The sequence below is a fragment of the Homo sapiens genome, chromosome 5 (assembly GCF_000001405.40).
Source record: "Homo sapiens chromosome 5, GRCh38.p14 Primary Assembly".
In the NCBI taxonomy this organism is placed as follows: domain Eukaryota; kingdom Metazoa; phylum Chordata; class Mammalia; order Primates; family Hominidae; genus Homo; species Homo sapiens.
In genome coordinates, this window is record NC_000005.10 from 158,030,654 (window position 1) to 158,046,877 (window position 16,224).

The 16,224-nt window shown below is 43.4% G+C and overlaps 1 long non-coding RNA gene across 1 annotated transcript; it reads right to left on the bottom strand.

Moving 5' to 3' along the window:
- Window positions 1-1,543: 1,543 nt before the first annotated feature.
- On the bottom strand, window positions 1,544-6,690 carry LOC107986466 (uncharacterized). The gene is made up of 2 exons (XR_001742941.1): window positions 6,657-6,690; window positions 1,544-3,451 (listed from the first exon to the last, which is right to left on the bottom strand). It is a non-coding gene; the product is annotated as an uncharacterized LOC107986466 (long non-coding RNA).
- Window positions 6,691-16,224: the final 9,534 nt, after the last annotated feature.

A 16,224-nucleotide genomic window follows, 5' to 3' on the forward strand; every position in this document is an offset into this window, starting at 1 on the left:
TTGATTTACAATTTTTCTTAAAGTTAAGAGAATATTACCATACATCCAGAATACATGCTTTCCTAGTGATTTTCCAATATTCTGTATTTATAAAACAAAATGTCCTCTGTATTTCTACTTTAGAGCTACTATTAGTGCATATGTTATAAATGTAATTAAAAACTTCCCCCCAGACAATCTCTGTGCAAAATTGTTCTGCACTTTTTTTCCAGCAAATGTGGTAGTTTCTGCCTGCTTGGAACTCACTATCAATAGTCTCATCCTTTATCACCACCATTTGGTTAGAACTTTGTGTTTTTTTTTTTTTGTCATCAGGAAACATTCATCATATGGATGTATGTATGGTCTTGGAGTTGTCCTGGGGATGCCACCAAACAAATATCTGATGTTTGAGCAGGTTTAAATCTAGTAAGATCTGAGCAGCTGAGACGGGGCAGAAAGCGGGGAGTGTAGGTAGTCCAGAATCGAAGAATCAAGTTGTTGGCAAGAGTAGCACAACAGAGATTTTTACTCTGCCTTGTTTAGTCTCATTTGCTGAGGTAGTGGTAGGGTACCTGGTTCTAATATCTTAAGGGGCAGGAGGGAGTCAAGGGGCACTAGGCTGGGCAAATCCCTCCTGTGATAAGCCAGGAACAGAGATACTAGAATTTCCTCACCGCCTCCAACCCAAAATGGACTGACCAATATTAGAGACCAAAGCACTCATTTAGGCAGGATTTGGTCCTCTAAGTTGCTTTTTTTGTGGACAGTACCTCTTCCGAGAATCTAGGCTTCATAGTTCCTCAGAGCTTGGGTGGTCTAATTACCAATTCTTTGTTGAAAGCTTTGCAGCATTCTGGCAATGTGAAGTTGAAGCAATCTCACCTACTTCTCCAGGCCTTTGAGAAAATGCATATTTCAGTGCTCATGCCCTTTTCTTTTATCTATCTATCTATCTATCTATCTATCTATCTATCTATCTATATCTATCTATCTATCTGTCTATCTTTCTTTAAGTTCTGGGATACATGTGTCTGGGATATAGGTTTGTTACATAGGTATACATGTGCCATGGTAGTTTGCTGCACCTGTCAACCTGTCATCTATGTTTTAAGCCCCTCATGCATTAGGTATTTCTCCTAATGCTCTCCCTCCCCTTGCCCCTCACCCCCCAACAGACTGTTGTGTGATGTTTCCCTCCCTGTGTCCATGTGTTCTCATTGTTTAATTCCCAGTTATGAGTGAGAACATGTGGTGTTTGGTTTTCTGTTCCTGTGTTAGTTTGCTGAGAATGATGGTTTCCAGCTTCATCCATGTCCTTGCAAAGGACAGCTCATGCCCTTTTCTACTTCCCCTGTTAACCTTGAAAATGAGAGTGAGGGTTCAGCCCAGAAAAATGAATGGGGAGGGCACAGGCTTTGGGCATTCGATAGATTCTGGGAAGCGGCCCCCTCCATCCTAAACAATAAACACCAGTCGTTCTTCTATTGTGTCAGGCATAGATTTACATCATTAAACATTCATTAGCCCTCTGATTCTAAAAAGCATTTTCATGCACTGAAAATGTCTTCAAATATGGAGAAATTACACTTTAATTGGATTACCATCTTCATAGGGATTAGTACATTTCTTTGATTCTAAAATGCATTTTTACCCCACATTTTTAACACTTGGAAAACTGTTATTAAATTGATGATTCATTTGAAAAGAGATGACATCTTAGAATAAAATACCATACCATAGCTTCTTTAGTTAATTTCTAATTTTGACTCTGAATGAAATTGTGTAACCACAAGATCATGGTGGTAGTGACAGGAGAGGAGGAGGTGTGAGGAGCGTGTGGGCAGATTCTTGAAATGAGAGAGGGATTGTGCTACAGAAAATTTTGCCTGCTTATTTTTTATCTGGGATTATGGTTCTCTCTGACCTCCATTCAGCTGCTTGTAACTGGGCATTTCTCCCCCAACTTTACTGGAGAAATTTGGATCTTTTTCATCATTACAATCAGCCATTTGTTTATTGTCCACTACATAAAATTACAAAGAGATAAAAGGCAAGCCCTTCTACTTCAGGATATATGGGAAAATTGAGAGGTTTTTGTGACTGTTGTAGAGTAGGGTGGGAAGAGGCCTCCATTAAATATTACTTATTTGTAACAGCTCTGTGTGGTTATAACTCACATGCCATACAATTCACCCATTTAAAATATACAATTCAATGAATTTTAGAGTCCTCATGGAGTTGAGCAATGGTCATCACTGTCAATTTTAGAACATTTTCATCACCACTAAAAGAAATCCTGTACTCTTTAGCAGTCACCCTTCATTCCTCCCGTTTTCCCCAACATTAGATACTATTCCATTTAAATTTGTAGACCAAAAATACAGCATGGTGGTCTTCTAGGAGTTAGAAGTTTCAAGAAGATTCCAAATGTTGGTGTTGCTACTTAAAAATTATTTCTTTGAGCCATATTTTCTTCATAAAATTGGTATAATGACCCTCTCACATCATAGGTAATTATTATTAATGTGGAAGTCATGAGGATTAAATAAGGTAACGCATATGAAAGCATCAGCATAGGGCATGTCACGTACTGGGTTCAGACGAGATTGGGCACGCCTAGGGTGGTATGGCCGTAGACATACTAGGTTAAGAATGTTCTTCATGCATTCATTTCCTTCAAGATGGAGCCCAGAGTTGAATTGCAGAAAGATGAGTGTTTCCTGGTCTCTGTCTTCCCTCTATGTGTAGACCAAGTCCTTGGTAGATGCCAACTCAGTGCCTCTCAGAAGCCCCATTTGGAAACAGTTAAAGCTCAGTACTTGCTGGTGACACCTCAACTCAGCGGTTAAACTGATAACACAAAACAGTGGGCTTGATTTCCATTTTCTTGGAAAAGAAAAAACGATGTTATCTATTTTATTCAGATAATGGGAAGTAGGCCTAAACTCTCAGTATTTCCCGCAACTGGGTGGATTTCAGAGAGATGCAGCATCCCCAGAGCCAGAGTGGTCAGTAAGAGTGATGACGTGGGATAGAAACTGTGATCCTTTGAGTGCCAACCCTCTCTTCCTGTGGACCTGCATGCAATATAAGGACTAAGAGATGAGGGTTGCTGGGACTCCAAAATCAATCCCACAGGCATTTTTGGCCCTGGAAAACCCCACTGAACAGAGTCAAACACTGTTCTTTGAGAATCTCAGAGAGGGGCGAGATTTTGCCTTTATTTGCCAATTCTTGAGTAGCAGGAAGGTGAGATGTGTTTCTGCCTTAGTATGATGGATGGCAAAACTGAAGTGGAGGGTAATTTCTGTGGTCTGAGGTCCTGAGATCTTCCAAGAAGGGGGTTTATGATGATCTCATGATTCTAAACTCTCTGCTCCTGCTTCTGCCAGAATCAGGATGCTCCTGGGAGCTTTGAGCTCTCTCTGTCTCTACTGACTTTTGCCAGCACCATCTCCAGATTATTCAGCTGAAAACAATTTAGCCAAAAATAAACTGTTCAACATTACTATTTGGTGAAAGAAAAAACATAAAATAATTATTTCTCAGACATTAATCCCAAAGCCTTGATATTTTTTGTTTATGATTGCAACCACTTTGTAATCTTTATTTATCTTTAATGATTTTTGCCCATTTAAAATTTAACTTTTCAAGAGGCCAGGCATGGTGGCTCACACCTGTAATCTCAGCACTTTGGGAGGCTGAGGTGGGAGGATAGCTTGAGGCCAGGAGTTTAAGACCAGCCTGGGCAGCATAGGGAGATCACGTCTGATATGGTTTGGCTCTGTGTCCCCACCCAAATCTCATCTTGAATTGTAATCCCCACATGTCTAGGCAGGGACCTGGTGGGAGATAATTGGATCATGGGAGTGGCTTCCCCTATGGTGTTCCTGTGATGGTGAGGGAGTTCTCATGAGATCTGATGGTTTAAGAGTGGCAGTTTCCCCTGCATGCTCTCTCTCTCTCGTGCTGCTTTGGAAGAAGGTGCTTATTTCCTCTTCGCCTTCCACCATGATTGTAAGTTTCCTGAGGCCTCCCCAGCCATGTGGAACGGTGAGTCAATTAAACATTTGTTGTTATAAATTACTCAGTCTCAGGTAGAATCTCTATAGCAGCGTGAAAATGGACTAATACAAAAAATTGGTACCAGGAGTGGGGTACTGCTATAAAGATAACCAGAAGACATGGAAGTAACTTTGGAACTGGGTAATGGGCAGAGTTTGGAACAGTTTGGAGGGCTCAGAAGAAGATAAGAAGACGCAGGGAAGTTTGGAACTTCCTAGAGACTTGTTGAATGGTTTTGGCCAAAATGCTGATAGCGATATGGACAATGAAGTCCAGGCTGAGGTGGTCTCAGATGGAGATGAGGAATCTACTGGGAACTGGAACAAAGGTCACTCTTGCTGTGCTTCAGCAAAGAGATTGGTGGCATTTTGCCCCTGGCCTAGAGATCTGTGGAACTTTGAATTTGAGAGAGTTGATTTAGGGTATCTGATGTAAGAAATTTCTAGGCAGCAAAGTATTCAAGAGTTGACCTGGCTGATTTTGAAAACATTCAGTCATATGTGTTCACAAAGAGATGGTTTGAAAATGAAACTTATGTTTCAAAGGAAAGCAGAGCATAAAGATTTGGAAGATTTGCAGCCTGACCATGCAGTAGAAAAGAAAAACCCATTTTCTAGGGAGGAATACAAGCTGCCTGCAGAAATTTGCATGAGTAATGAGGAGCTGAATGTTAATCACCAAGACAATGGGGAAAAAGTCTCCATGGCATTTCAGAGATCTTCATGGCAGCCTCTCCCATCACAGGCCCAGAGGCCTAGGAGGGAAAAATAGTTTTGTGGGCCAGGCCCAGGGCCCTGCTGCTCTGTGCAGCCTCAGGACTTGGCGCCCTGCATCCCAGCTGCTCCAGCTCCAGCCATGGCTAAAAGGGACCAATGTACAGCTCAAGCTGTCATTTCAGGGGCTGCAAGCCCCAAGCCTTGTCAGCTTCCACATGGCCTGTGGGTGAACAGAAGATAAGAGTTGAGCTTTGGGAGCCTCCACCTAGATTTCAGAGGATGTATGGAAATGCTTGGATGTCCAGCAGAAGTCTGCTGCAGGGGCAGAGCCCTCATAGAGAACGTCTGCCAGGGCAGTGCAGAAAGGAAATGTGGAATTGGAGCCCTCACACACAGTCACCACTGGGGCATTGCCTAGTGGAGCTGTGAGAAGAGGTTCACCGTCCCCCGGACCCCAGAAAGGTAGATCCACTGACAGCTTACATCATGTGCCTAGAAAAGCCATAGGCACTCAACACCAGCCCATAAGAACAGACACAGGGACAGAGCTGCCCAAGGCTGTGGGAGCCCATACCTTGGCATCAGTGTGACCTGGATGTGAGACATGGACTCAAAAGAGATTTTGGAGCTTTAAGATTTAATGACTGCCTGTCCTGGTTTTGGACTTGCATGGGGCTTATGGACCTGTTGTTTTGGCCAATTTCTCCCATTTGGAAAGGGAACATTTACCCAATGCCTGTACCCCTATTGTATCTTGGAAGTAAACTGAATTGCTTTTGATTTTACAGGTTCCTACGTGGAAGTGACTTGCCTTGTCTCAGATGCGATTTTGGACTTGGATTTTTGAGTTAATGCTGGAATGAGTTAAGACATTGGGGGACTGTTGGGAAGGCATGATTAGTTTTTTTTTTTTTTTCTGTTTAAAAATTTTTTTTTTAATTTTTAATTTTTAATTATTTTTTTTAGTATTTTTGATCATTCTTGGGTGTTTCTTGGAGAGGGGGATTTGGCAGGGTCATAGGACAATAGTGGAGGGAAGGTCAGCAGATAAACCTGTGAACAAGGTTCTCTGGTTTTCCTAGACAGAGGACCCTGCGGCCTTCCGCAGTGTTTGTGTCCCTGGGTACTTGAGATTAGGGAGTGGTGATGACTCTTAACGAGCATGCTGCCTTCAAGCATCTGTTTAACAAAGCACATCTTGCACCGCCCTTAATCCATTTAACCCTGAGTGGACACAGCACATGTTTCAGAGAGCACGGGGTTGGGGGTAAGGTTATAGATTAACAGCATCCCAAGGCAGAAGAATTTTTCTTAGTACAGAACAAAATGGAGTCTCCCATGTCTACTTCTTTCTACACAGATACAGTAACAATCTGATCTCTCTTTCTTTTCCCCACATTTCCGCCTTTTCTATTCGACAAAACCGCCATCCTCATCATGGCCCGTTCTCAATGAGCTGTTGGATACACCTCCCAGACGGGGTGGCGGCTGGGCAGAGGGGCTCCTCACTTCCCAGACGGGGCGGCCGGGCAGAGGCGCCCCCCACCTCCCAGACGGGGCAGTGGCCGGGCGGAGGCGCCCCCCACCTCCCTCCCGGACGGGGCGGCTGGCCAGGTGGGGGCTGACCCCCCACCTCCCTCCCAGAGGGGGCGGCTGGCTGGGTGGGGGCTGACCCCCCACCTCCCTCCCAGAAGGGGCGGCTGGCTGGGTGGGGGCTGACCCCCCACCTCCCTGCTGGACGGGGCAGCTGGTGGGGCGGGGGCTGCCCCCCACCTCCCGGATGGGGTGGCTGGCTGGGCGGGGGCTGCCCCCCGACCTCCTGGACGGGGTGGCTGCCGGGCAGCGGGGCTCCTCACTTCTCAGATGGGGCGGCTGGGCAGATTCGCTCCTCACCTCCCAGATGGGGTGGCGGTCAGGCAGAGACACTCCTCAGTTCCCAGATGGGGTCGTGGCCGGGCAGAGGCACTCCTCACATCCCAGATGGGGCGGTGGGGCAGAGGTACTCCCCACATCTCAGACGATGGGCGGCGGGGCAGAGACACTCCTCACTTCCTAGACTGGATGGCGGCCGGGAAGAGGCGCCCCTCACTTCCCAGACTGGGCGGCCTGTCAGAGGGGCTCCTCACTTCCCAGACTGGGCGGCCAGGCAGAGACACTCCTCACTTCCCAGACGGGGTGGCAGCCAGGCAGAGGCTGCAATCTCGACACTTTGGGAGGCCAAGGCAGGCGGCTGGGAGGTGGAGGTTGTAGCGAGCCGAGATCACGCCACTGCACTCCAGCCTAGGCAACATTGAGCACTGAGTGAGTGAGACTCCGTCTGCAATCCCGGCACCTCGGGAGGCAGAGGCAGGCAGATCACTTGCGGTCAGGAGCTGGAGACCAGCCCGGCCAACATGGCGAAACCCCGTCTCCACCAAAAAATGCAAAAACCAGTCAGGTGTGGTGGCGCGCGCCTGCAATCCCAGGCACTCTGCAGGCTGAGGCAGGAGAATCAGGCAGGGAGGTTGCAGTGAGCCGAGATGGCCGCAGTACAGTCCAGCCTCAGCTTTCACAACTTCAGTGGCATCAGAGGGAGACCGGGGAGGGGCACAACTTTGGTGTCATCAGAGGGAGACCGGGGAGAGGGAGAGGGATTAGTTTTGAAATGTGAAAAGGACATGGGTTCTTTTGGGAGGGGTTGGGGTGGAATGATACGGTTTGACTCTGTTGGAAATAAAGCTCAGAATCTTAAGGAAACTGAGCACTCAAACAAAGGATTTTCAGCGAAGCAATTTTACTTCTGTGCAGAGGGGTGCTTCTCCTTGGCCAGTCACCATGAGAGCACACCAGAACAAAGGGTCTCTGTGTCCGCACTCAAATCTCATCTTGAATTGTAATCCCCATGTGTCTAGGGAGGGACCTGGTGGGAGATGATTGGATCATTGGGGTGGTTTCTCCCATGCTGTTCTCCTGATAGTGAGTGAATTCTCATGAGACCTGATGGTTTAAAAGTGGTACTTCCCCATTCACTCCCTCTCTCTCCTGCCACTTTGTCAAGAAGGTTCTTGCTTTTCCTTTGCCTTCCACCATGACTATAAGTTTCCTGAGGCCTCCCCAGCCATGCAGAACCTAGTCAATTAAACCTCTTGTTTATAAATTGCCTAGTCTCAGGTAGTATCTTCATATCGGTTTGAAAATGGACTAATACAGTGTCCCTCCAAAAAAATTAAAAAATTAGCCAGGTGGTGGTGGTGTGGGCTTACGATCTCAGCTGCTTGGGAGGATTGAGCCAGGAGTTTGAGGTTGCTGACAGCCATGATTACACTACTTTACTGCACTCCAGCCTGGGTGACAGTGAGATGCTATCTTGGAAAAAAAAAATTGAACTTTTCAATTGTTTCCCCACTATTTACTATCATATTTCAAATGTATTTTTAGTCCATTATTCCTATTCTTTGGTGTTTGTTGAAGTGAAAAATTAGAATAATAGGACTCAATTGAAATATCCAAAATATCAAGTTATGATAAACACACAGGTTTCTAATGTAAGTATTATATAAGCTTATATTTGTAGAATAATTATAGTGTACAGAAAAATTATTTGGACAATTATACACCAAGGTCTGAATAGTGTTTGCCTTGGGTGGGTGGAATTATTTTGCTTATTTATATATTTTTTAATCAATTTGACAAAATTTTAATAAGCTCTTATTAAATGTCAGCCATATTCTTTATGTTGAGGGTATAACAATGAAGAAAAAAGAAAAATTTGCCCTGATTGAAGGTACATACTTGTAGGAGTAGGAAGCAGACAAAAGAATTAAGTAAGATATATCACAGGCCAAACAGTGACAAGCACTATGGAGATAAATGAAGCAGGGAAGGGGGCTACAGCATGTTGGGGAGGGGTTCCAATTTTAAATAGGGTCACCAGGGAGGTCTGACTGTCGAGGTTACTTTTGAGTGAAGATCTAAAGGAAATGAGAGCCTGAGCCAGGTGGATATCTGGGGGGAAAAGCGAGCCAGCAGAAAGAGTATCAAGTACAAAAGGCTTGCTAGAGGAGCATGCCTGGTTTTGTGTGTGTGTGTGTGTGTGTGTGTGTTTGTGTGTGTGTGTAGTGAGACAAGGAGGTCAGAGGACTGGTGCAGAATCAGCCATGAGGAAGAGTAGGAGAAGGTGAGTTAGAGAGGTAGCGAGAGAGCCAAGTCATGTGTAGTCTTATAGGCCATTGTGAAGACTTAGACTTTCACTCAGCCAGCTAGAAAGCCACTGGGGGTGCTGAGCAGAGAAGTGACATAATCTATGTTATGTTTTATGTGTATCACTTTGACTGCCCCTTTGGGAATAACCTGTAGCAGGGACAATGGTGGAAGCAGGAGACTATGGGTGAGAGGTGATGGGGGCTTGGATCAAGGTGATAGCAGTGGAAGTGGGGAACAGTGGTTAGTGGTTACAGTATTGATACATTTTGAAGTTATAGTCTACAGGACTTGCTTACATATACAGAACATGGACTTATGAGATAAATAGAGTAGTCAGAAAGGAATCCAAGCTTCTCGGCCTAAACAAATAGAAGCTTAGAACTAAGTTAATAGAAATGGAGAAGTCTATAGTGAGATAAAGATCAGGAGGCAAGATCAGGAGCTCAGTTTTGAACATAAGTTTGATACATTTATTAGTCATCTAAGATGTTTCTGTAATGAGAATGCATTGTTTTTGAAATTGGGGAAAAACAATAAAAACTTTCAAAAGGCATTCTATTGTGGGACTGGGTTGTTTCAACGAGTCCTCTATTGTTGGCCTGAATTATTCAGTTTCTGTGGCAAAATTGTTTTCAGTCAAACCATCTGGAACTGGTGTATGCAGGGGGCCACTCTGGGTAACCACAAAGCACACTTGCTCCTGGGACTGCCCTGCTTAAAAGAAAGTCAAAAGCAGTCTCAGCACTGCTTTGCTATCTTGGCTGTCAGGGCCATTGATTCAACTGATTTCCTAGATGCTTGTTTTAACTCCCTAATCCCATGAGTCTTGCCTTGCTCTGTCACCAGGCTGGAGTGCAGTGGTGCGATCTCGGCTCACTGCAACCTCCGCCTGCTGTGTTCAAGTGATTCTCCTACCTCAGCCTCCTGAGTAGCTGGGACTACAGGTGTGCACTACCATGCCCAGCTAATTTTTGTAATTTTAGTAGAGACGGGGTTTCACCATGTTGACCAGATGGTCTCAATCCCCTGACCTTGTGATCCGCCCATCTTGGCCTCCCAAAGTGCTGGGATTATAGGCGTGAGCCACTGTACCCGGTCGCTTACCTGAAGCTTTTAGGATCCAGTGTCCCTGGACCCTTAGTTCTTACTATCCCCTGATAGTAAACACCTATCCTATTACCACCATGCTGCCATTAGTTAATTCACAATACATTTCTTGAATACCTGTTTTGTGCAAAGCACTGGACAAAGCATTTTTGGGACAACAAAGAAGCTGAGATATGATATTGAAACTCTAGGAGGTTGCAGTGCTGTCGGGGAATGTAAGGCTATATAACAGGAGTGTGATGGACAAGTATTTGATATCATGGAAGGGAATCCAAGGCTCTGATTTTTATTTTTATTTATTTATTTTTTGAGACAGAGTCCTGCTCTGTCATCCAGGCTGGAGTGCAGTGGCACAACCTCGGCCCACTGCAACCTTTGCCTCCCAGGTTCAAGTGATTCTTGTGCCTCAGCCTCCCGAGTAGCTGGGATTATAGGCGCCCACCACCATGCCTGGCTAATTTTTTTTTTTTGTATTTTTTTTTAGTTGAGATGGGGTTTGCCATGTTGGCCAGGCTGGTCTCGAACTCCTGACCTCAGGTGATCCACCTGCCTCAGCCACCGCACCCAGTGGTGTGAGCCACCATGCCTGGCCCAAGGCTCTGATTTTTGTAGTGATGACCTGCTTGGTCTCACCAGCTTCAGCACTTTTATAATGCCAGTGACTATAGACTTTTATCAGAGGCTTGCTGTACTTTTCAATTGCTAAAAAAATTTAGCATTTGTTGTTTTTACCCGAGTATAAAGTAACAGATACTCATTGCATAAAATGTGGGAAAATCAGGAAAACATGGAGGAAAAAAAAACCTGAGAATTTTATCACCCAGAGATAGAATGTTACTGTTAATATTTTGTGTCTTTCTTCTCAATCTTTTTTTAAAAGATTTATTGTTGGCATTTTCCTGTATCACGAATATTCTTTAAAAGAATGCTTTTAAGTAGCTGAATGGAACTGATGTCCCATTTATTTTGGGGTATGGTTGAACCTTTTCATATTTTCATAAGTAAGTTCCTCCTTCCTGGGCTACATAGGTTGGTTGTTGAGGCTGTTCCAAGGTACCTGGGAGAGAGTAGAGTCTCATGAACATGAGGGTGTGCCCATATGGAGTGCACTTGGGTGGCAGGGGTGCAGTCACTTGGGGCAGCAGCACTTAATCCATGCTTCTGCCCAAGTCTGCACATACATGAGCATAGTGGAGACCACAACTGAAATTTCAGAGAGGACCCACTTTCTGTTTGAAAATCGGATTGACCTTGGTAGACTCCGCATTGGTAGACCAAGAAACTCTGAAATCATATAATTTTAATACTGATCCTTTTTTATGAAAGACATCAATAGTTATGTTTGTCAAGGGGGTCAATAGAAATGCCATAGGGCCCTTCTCTCGAAAAGTAGAAAATGATCAAAGGAAGGTGGAAGAAAGTGGTATAGCAGCTCCCCTGATAATATAGATGAGATTCCTCAGTGGGATTCCTTTGTGGGGAGACCTTAGGAGAAGAGAGGGAAAAAAATACAGAAAAAAAATTGGAAAGACTTGTAATTTAAAAACCAATAATGCTTTTCAAGGCTGGTATGTAAAACTTGCCCTTCTCTTTGGCTATTCCAGCCACAGATGAATGTTTTCTTGCCAATTAGAACATTCTTGGTGTGTTTTCCTTTGCTTCATGTGATGTTTGTTGTGAACCCATGTTCGTCATTATCTATAAATTAATTTCTGCCATTGTAATAAATTGTAGGAACACCAATAAAACCACAATGTACAGTTAAATCTTTTTTTCTTTTTCCTTTTTTTTTTTTTTTTTTGCTGGGTTTTAATTTTTTTCCCCTGTGGGAAAGACAAAGTAAATAAAACAAAACAAAAACATTTCCAGTAGTGGATGGGTGGTTTATGGAATACATTTTAACCACCATTTTTCTTAGTCTTTTCAATTACTGTGTGTATCTCCCATTTGCTTAAGGCTTCTCAATCACCTTTCTTGGTTGGAATAGTGAAGAATTAATCATGAGGATCAGGGTTGACGGAAAGGAATTGATGGAGTATCTTTTCTTTTGGCAAGCAATGCCAAAGGTAATGATCAATACTTCTTTAAAGGTACCCAAACCAGGAAAGCAAGTAGAGAATTAGTGGTATCAATAAAATGATCATGTATAAAACATTTATTAGGGTGACATAAAGTTGTCAAAAATTCTTCACTTTTTAAACTTCACTTTCAGACTTTTCTGAGAAAGACTTTGTCAGGAATTTTGGAGGAAGTAGTTGTGAATGCTGTAGAAGAGCATCTCCCCAAATGAGTCCCATAGAATGTTAAAGAGTAGACTGGATGTCTATTATTTGTGCCTGCCTTGAAGGCATTTCCTTCTGCTGGAAGCAATAACCCTCATCATCACTGGTCCATGTGGTTTGGGTGTGACTGAGGGCCATATGTACAGCTCCAGAGGTAGGCACTGGCTCAGGACTATGAAGTCAGTACATTCCTTCTCCCCAGTCTCAAGAATTGGTGCAGCAGTGACTATTGACCAAAGACAGTCCAGTGAGATTTCTTCTAGGCTCTTTTTGAAATTATTGAGGGAGGGAGAGAAACCCCTTTTTTCACCGGGGCTGCTGAAAGAGAGAATGTAAGCTCAGTGCAGATGGTCATCTTTCTGCTTTGTGAAAGGAGCCTGTTTGAATGAAGCCAACAAAAAGGTGTAGTGCCCAGAAATGGAGACAGAGTGAGTCTTCATGATACTGTCCAAGGCCTAGAGTCCTGCCAGGCCTAAAGCTAGCCCTGTCCTGGTCTTAAATAAAACTAATTTTTTCTGTTTTCACCAGTTTTTATTGGGCTTCTCTCACTCGCCACTTGGATCAATCACTTGGGATTGATTTTGGAGTTTTGGCTAATTGAAAAAGTGTGATGTGAAGGTCTATCATTAGACATGTGTGAGAAATCCTGGGCATATTAGTTTGGGTTGGCCCAGAAATAGACTCTGCAGTTGAATGTGCATGCTAGTAGTTTATCTGGGAGATGGGAGTGGGGAAGTAAGGAATGGAAGGCACCTGATTAAGGGGAGCTTCTCCAGCCAGCAACCACTGTGGGTGGCTGGAACTAACTTAACTGCATGAGGAAACGATAGGAGACAGTGTTAAGCATATGACTCTGAGTTATCCCCACCAAGAAGCAAGGGAGCTGGGATACCTCAACTTCCATCAGTTATTGCTTTAGGACTGTTCTTAGGTATGTGTTAATTTCTTGGTATTTCAGGCCTGCTCTGCAAGCAGTCAGAACAGCCTTCTAAGGCTTAGAGAGAGGGAGAGGGAAGAAAAGAGAAAGAGAGAGGGAGAAACAGAGACTTAAGACAAAGAGGTACAGAAGGAAGTCAGTAGGATGCAGGGGTGTGGGCTAAACAAAGCTGTGATTTCTTTACTTCAGGACTTCTCAGAACCTCCAATATGCTAACGTAGATATTGAATATCCAAAAGTGAAGTTATGACATGCAATGTTTTCCAAGTCTATTTCACCACAGAACCTTTGTTTTGCGGATTATTTTTGGACTTGTAGTTGTAGCACATACTTTGAGAAATGCTGTCTTAGAATATCCTGGACTTAAGGCATAACCGACTATAAAAATTCGTAGGAGTTGAAAACCAAACATCGTATGTTCTCACTCCTACGTGGGAACTAAGCTATGAGGATGCAAAAACACAAGAATAATACAATGGACTTTGGGGACTTGGGGAAAGGGCAGGAGGGGGGTGAGGGATAAAACTATACATTGAGTACAGTGTACACTGCTCAGATGATGGGTGCACTAAAATCTCAGAAACCACCACTGTTATGGTTTGGCTGTGTCCCCACCCAAATCTCCTCTTGAATTGTAGTTCCCATAATCCCCATGTGTGGTGGGAGGGACCTGGTGGGAGGTAACTGAATCATGGGGGCGGTTCCCCCATGCTATTCTCGTGATAGTGAGTAACTTCTAATGAGATCTGATGGTTTTATAAGGCACTTCCTCCTTTGCTCAGCTCACATTCTTCTCCTTGCTGCCACCATGTGAAGAAGGATGTGTTTGCTTCCCCTTCTGCCATGACTGTAAGTTTCCTGAGGCCTCTCCAACCTTGCTGAACTGTGAGCCAATCAAACCTCTTTCCTTTATAAATTACCCAGTCTCGAGTATTTCTTCAGAGCAGTGTAAGAATGGACAAATACAACAACTAAACTCATTAATGTACCCAAACACCACCTGTTCCCCCAAAACCTATTGAAATAAAAGAAATTTGTAGGACTTTATGGCATCCACCTCAAAATTTTGAAGTAACCATTGGGTAAACTGTCAAACCTTTGGACAACAAGCATAATTATTATATTTAAAAAAATGTAACAGGCCAGATGCAGTGGTTCGTGCCTGTAAATCCAAACAGTTTGGGAGACTGAGGCAGGAGGATTGCTTGAGGTCAGGAGTTTGAGGTCAGCCTGGGCAACATAGTGAGACCCTGCCTCTCCAAATATAAAAAAATTTAGCAAGATGTAGTGTACATACCTATAGTCCCAGTTACTCAGGAGTCTGAGGTGGGGAAGATTGCTTGAGCCTGGGAGGTGAAGGCTGCAATGAACCATGATGGCACTATTGCACTCCAGCCTGGGTGACAGAGTGAAACCCTGTCTCGAAAAAAGAAAAAAAAAATGACTATTGTAGATGATTCTATTGTCTTATCATTTGAAGGGTGAGGCAGCAAAGGCACAGAGTTTCACTCACATGATTAAGGCTGTTAACAAGTTTGTGCGAAGTCAGGACTAGCGTCTAAACTCAGGGTTCCCTCTTTCCCCTAACTAAGCTGACTTTGTGGATCACGCATTTTAAATTAAACTCAAGGCTACGTTGGAACAACATTCTGTCCTGTAATCTTCCACATATGTTGCTAGTCTTCACCACTTTTCTTTGTCGATAAGTATTTAACAGGTAGCAGAATCTTGGTTGTTTTTGTTTTGTTTCGTTTTTAAGCTCAGTTTTGCAAATAAAGGTCTTGGGCACTGTGTACCCTTTTCCTTGGCTGGCTGGCAGGCAGCCTCCATTCTCTAGACTTGGGATTTGCCCTGGCTTTGTCAAGAAGCCTATTTTTCTTTCCACTTGCATTTCTAGATCATGGTCATTAATATTCGTAAGCTTATGATGTCAGTGAGTCAGAGAGACTAGTTAGGTCAAGAACTGCAGTCATGAACTTGCTTGTGGATGATTTCTTGTACTATTGAGTATGATTATGAACAGTAGCTTTAATGTGTAGCCATATCCATTTGGCAATTGCAGGCATCCTAAGATCTTGGCAGATGTGCATACAATAGGCATATACCCACACAAAGGCTTAGCATGCTGACTTCTGGTTACCCAGGATGCTTTGCCCAAGTAAGTGGGTTTTTATGTCCAGGGACATGGCCTTGGTTCTCAGATGGAGAGAGATAATGGGAAGGCATTTCTGCAGAAGATAAAGAACAGGGAGTTATTGTTTGTTCTTATCCTGTGTTCCTAGGGTGATAAATGGAAATGAATAGGGTTTTCTGCTGGTTGTTTCTGACCATCAACCTTTTTATGCTGTCAACTATATGTTCTTATATATTGATGGTCACAAACTTGAGGTGTAAATCATTGAAGGTCTGTATAGTAAAGGCAGTAACAAAAGATGTTCTAGTAATCAGTAATATTATTGCCAAGCATGGCCTCTCCTATTCATTTCTGCTCATCCTCCAGGACAAAGGAAAAGAAATGCACAGTTCATTAGGTAACTAAGTTGTGAAAGTAGTGCCATTTTTCTTGAAACAGTAATAGAGATTTAAAGGCTTGTTTTCATTAAAATTGCTGGGTGAAAATATCTACACTGTACCTTTATTATGATTTATTTCTATGTACTATGTATAAATACCAAATATTTAACCAGCCTTCTCATTCTCTCATTTCTGGGAGTTCAAAATTTAGTACTAGGTTTTAAATGATATTATCTACATGCGGGGAAACTGTCTTAAACATGTTTCTTTATTATATAGCTCTGGCTAAAACATGGGTCAAATTATACACACTGAAACATATTTCTATAGAATAAATTCTCAATACAGTGTGATAAGCTTATAAGTGGTTAGTTTTATCATATAATAGTAGTATTTTAATGGAATGGCTATTACCATTAGAAATATCCCTCAAGTTTTA